Raw genomic sequence first — 5241 nt, 5'->3', positions numbered from 1 at the left:
GTTTCAAAAATCTAGGAAGGGAAAAGAAATGAGGATCTGATTAGACCGATCCTAAAAAGCCATTTTACTACCCCCTGAGAAACTAGGGCCACCATGGTAGAATAAAAATATTTAAATTATTCTTCCAAGCATTTACCTAAGGACTGTGGAAGAGGCCAAGGATGTGGCTGGAGAAAAACAGGGCAAGTGGAGGTATTGGAGGGACCCACCAAAATGAAAAGCAGCCTGTCCAGAGCTGTAGGAGTTGAAACAGTTTTCTGGAATGATGATGACAGGCTATGAAAAGGACAGGAAGGTACCTGATGGGCGAGAAGCTTAAGGCAACAACCGGGAAACTAGGAAACCATTGGCCCAGGTTTTGTACCAATTGTGCTGAGGTCATCCAGGCAAAACCTCAAGAATGAAGACATCTAATTTCAAGAAGGGACAAAGGGATCCCCAATAATTGGGAAGTCACATCACACCTTGTTCTTGGCTAATACACAACAGAAGGTGAAGTATGTTTTCCAAATGCCCCTTGTAATGAAACAGTTATTGAATGTCTTCCCAGGACAAACTGGGAAGGAGAGCACCCATCTACCGCCGTTCCCGCAGTCCTGCAGTCCTGCAGGTGGGCCAGTCCTGCCAACACTCCAGCTCCCCTCACAGAGCATAAACTGAATCAGGTGGCCGAACCACCGGAAGCCAGAGTCCCCAGTGTCCGCGCCCACACAGGGGTGGGTAGGCAGCTTCCCAGGCTTTGGGCTGGGGACCCAGGCCAGGTCCCCTGGCTCTTGCTCCCGCCCTCCGCTCATGCTCACTGTGGCCCCAGGACGTGGGCGATGTTGCAGGGAGCAAGGGGCGCCTCTGCCTGATTTGCCGGGGTCGAGCCTCCCTGTCCCACCCCCACCGGCCCTGGGAATACTGCGGCCTGGCACTCCGGAAAATCCCTCACTCACAGAGCTGAAGGACTTGCTGGGTCCCTGGTGGCCCCTGTCCAATCTTAGCCCACTGGGGTCTCAGCTGCTGTAGCCACAGGTGGACAGGCACAGTGGGCAGGTGCTGGGTCCAGGAGTCTCCTGTCGCCTAAGGCCGCCCGAAAGCAGCTAATTGACCTCTAAAGCCCCTAGACCCCCCTGCCCCCTTGCCGCCCAGGCAGGCCCGCCCCCACCACTTGCCCGCTCTGCGATTGGCTGCGCCAGCCGCTGGGCGGGGCCTTCCGGCGTGCTGACTCCTGGCATGTGGAGCAGCTCAGTCCCCTTGCCTCAGTGGAACCGGGGGAGGGGAGCTGGGGGCTACGAAGAGAAGGGTCGGAGGTCTCCCTGGAGGGTTCGGATCAACTAAGTACCCTATTTAATGCCCTGGGCGGGTGGTTTATGAAAAGAAATTTACAGGAGCCCTGTGTGCATTTTCAGTTTAACCCTGCTTTTCCCTTAGGCCTAGAATTTTTGATTAAAATCTCCTGCAGGGCAGAGAGCCAGAGGACTCTAATCCAGTGGTTCCTGTTTAGTCCACAGCAAAGGTGCGGCTGGCTGGAAGAACGCACAGCCTGCAAGCAGAAGCCTTACCTCCCAATTAAGGGTGTAGAAGAATCTGGGCGTGTTGCTGGTGGCTCATGCCTGTAATCCCAGCACTTTGGGAGGCTGAGGCAGGCAGATCCCTTGAGCCCAGTAGTTCGAGAACAGCGTGGGCACCCTGGCGAAACCCCTTCTCTACTAAAAATACAAAAATTAGCCGAGTGTGGTGGCCCGCGCCTGTGGTCCCAGCTAGTCGGGAGGCTGAGGCACCAGCATCGCCCAGCCCGGAAGGTTGAGGCTATAGTGAGCCGAGATCGCACCACTGCACTCCAGCCTGGGCGAAAGGAGACCCTGTCTCAAAGACAAAAAAACAACTGGTAGGAAAACGCACCCTCAAAACACATGATGAGATGGTCGAGACCAGACCCTAGGAGGGTGGGGACTGGCTGGGTGGGTATCCAGAGACCATGGGCGTTTCATAATGCATTGTTTCCCATCTCCTCCACTCAGCGACTCTTCTTCCCCTGAAGTCTTGCATTAAGTAAGTGAATGAATCAATCATCAAGTTAATGAAGCTCTGACTTTGTACTTGTTGTCCTTTGCTTGGTACAGTTGGGCACTGCCTTAGAAACAATCTCCAGGTAATTTTCCCAACTGCTTTTGTGAGGCCCAGTTTTCCATTTTAAAATCTAAGATTACCTCAGTAATCTTGCTTTTACAGCAAATGGGCATGGAGCCTGACAGATATATTTAAACTAAGTTATGGACAAGCTGCCTGGTGCATTAGGTAGCATAGGAGCTAACCTTGTGGGACATCTCCCCATATTCGTAATATTCACCCCTACATCTATAATCAATAAATGCTTGTTTGGAGGCCATAGAAACTCTTCCTGAGATCTGACCTGTGTCTTCTGCTATCTGCCTGATTTCTCCCCATAGAACAGGAAAACACTGTGTAGGAGATATTGTGAATAGAAATATGAATATAGGCCGGGAGTGGTGGCTCACACCTGTAATCCCAGCACTTTGGGAGGCCAAGGCGGGTGGATCACCTGAGGTCAGGAGTTTGAGACCAGCCTGGCCAACATGGCGAAACCCCGTCTCTACTAAAAATACAAAAATTAGCCACGCATGGTGGCAGGCACCTGTAATGCTAGCTACTCAGGAGGCTGAGGTAGGAGAATTGCTTGAACCCAGGGAGGCAGAAGTTGCAGTGAGTGAGATGGCACCACTGCACTCCAGCCTGGGCAACAGAGTGAGACTCTGTCTCAAAAAAAAAAAAAAAATAAATTACAAAAATTAGCCAGGCATGGTGGTGGGCGCCTGTAATCCCAGCTACTCAGGAGCCTGAGGCAGGGACAACGGCTCAAACCTGGGAGGCAGAGGTTGCAGTGAACCGAGATTGCACCACTGCACTCCAGCCTGAGAGACATAGCGAGACTCCATCTCAAAAAAAAAAAAAAAAAGAATATAAATAGGAAATACAGTGATTCAAATAAGCAATTGTTAGTTCCTCAGATCAGAACTGTGAGTTCTATACTAGACTCTTACATGTTATTTCTTCTGGTATCTTAGCAATGATTCTGAATAAAGATCAGACTCCTTAGTCGGCAGGTGGGACAGTTCTCAATAACAGAAGCTGGGTTCTCAGGGGATCCCGTGGATATGAGGATGAAGGTTAGAAGCACTTGGGACCATACCTGCAGGTCTGATTTGAGGACAATGAGACCAAGACAGGAAGGCAGCACCTGCTGAGGGGCTGGGGGTGGGAGAAGGGAGGACACAGGACACAAGAAAATAAGTATAAACCACCAGACTGCAGTCAGTGATCAACAAAATTCCCAAGTTTATATTGAGAAGATTTCCCTGGTTTGGGGTTTTGAAGAGATTATATAAGGGATTCGGGTTGCTTGATTTTTTTCATTCTTTTTCTTTTAACTTGGTCTCAATTTTTTTGTAAAAAAAAAAAAAAGAATGTCTTATGTGCACCTTTAGAACTGGTGAATGAATGAACCTCCCTTTTTAAATAACTGAGATTGTCACTGAAGCACTGTCATCCGATTTAGGCTTAAAAATCTGACACTGAATTTATCCTAGATGATAAAGTGCAAGTCTCTTGTCTCCTAGAAATGATCAGGCAAGGAAACACCCAGGAGGCCCAGGGCAAAATGCCCTCCTGGAAGCTGGTGGGGTAGGAAGATGCTGAGGCCCAGTATGGTCCCTGGAGCATGCATTCTGTGTGGTGACAGAAATTGTTTGCTTGACCGTACATTGGTCAGGCTTCTGAACCTTCTGCTAAACCCATCTGTGCACTTTTTGTAAAATTCAGTTTTAGGAAATTACCCTGCTAAGTCAGTTTAGCTGGCAGGAATCCCCGTCCGCCATATACTGATCAGGGTCCTCATCCCCCACCATCCCGCAGCTGATGTCAGATAACCTTGGCCTGTGCTCAGCGAGAATCTCGTTAGGTCAGTTTAGCCAGAATCCTCCCTTACCCTTCATGTTCCCTCATAGTCATTTCCTATCTGCTAACCCCCATCCTCCTCCTTGAGTGTAATTACCACTTCCTTGTGCTGGATTCAGAGTTGAGCACAATTGCTCTCTCTCACTGTAAGAACTACTTGCAGTGCTCCTAGACCTACATATGTGAACCTGTTTCTTTAACAGTGACTCACCTGTCTTTTTCTCCTTTCAACTTGACACTAGCTGAGGCTTATCCGCATCAAAGTGGAGGGACTGGCCCCGGGGGATCCTCAGGGCTTCACCTTGATGGCCTACAGGCTCACATTCCACTTTTTCTGGTGCCTTCTGGCTCCGAGTCCAGTTTGCCACACAAGTGATGGAGGTTGGAAGGAGGGATGAGGTGACAGAGGTGAAGGAGGGTAAATTCTTTTCTAAGCCCTACTTGCCTGACATGCATTTAGGTTTTTAGAAAGGAAACTGACCCCACCCTTTATTTTCTATCTCCCACTTCCATGACTAGCCTTACCTGTAAAAATGGGGCATAGAAGAGCCCCCATCTCCTAGGGCAGTGTTTTTGAGCAGGGGGTCACTGAACAGTAGCACCTTCATCTCTTGGGACCTTGTTAGGAAATTCTGGACTTGGGGTGGTTGATCATGCCTGTAATTCCAGCACTTTGGGAGGCCGAGGCTGGCAGAACACGAGGTCAAGAGATCAAGACCATCCTGGTCAACATGGTGAAATCCCGTCTCTACTAAAAATACAAAAATTAGCTGGGCACGGTGGTGTGTGCCTGTAGTCCCAGCTAATGGGGGGCTGAGGCAGGGGAATCACTTGAACCTGGGAGGCAGAGGTTGCAGTGAACCAAGATCATGCCATTGCACTCCAACCTGGGTGACAGAGGAAGACTCTGTCTCAAAAAAAAAAAAATAAAAATTCCTGGAAATGGATTAGCTTGCTGACAAGAGTTATTCCATTGTGTGTTTCTACCTGCAATACCTGAGGATGCCCATTTTCTCACGATTTATAAACTAACTCATTTTATAGATGTAATTTTCATACATTTGGGAGTATCGTTCTAACTTCATTATTATTACTTCAAGGTGTTATTATTTCCCCATCATCATCATGGTCATTATCATAACTAGTTGGTGCTGACAGTAGTCACCCTGCATTGAGAACTCATGCTCCAGGCCCTTTCCACATAGACTTGATTTAATTCCATTCACTCCTCACAACAATCGTCTGAAAGAAAGAATCACTAAGCCATTGTATAATTGAAAC

The sequence above is a fragment of the Homo sapiens genome, chromosome 10 (assembly GCF_000001405.40).
Source record: "Homo sapiens chromosome 10, GRCh38.p14 Primary Assembly".
Taxonomy (NCBI): domain Eukaryota; kingdom Metazoa; phylum Chordata; class Mammalia; order Primates; family Hominidae; genus Homo; species Homo sapiens.
The sequence above is the reverse complement of the archived record's forward strand: the minus strand, read 5'-3'. Positions refer to the sequence as shown.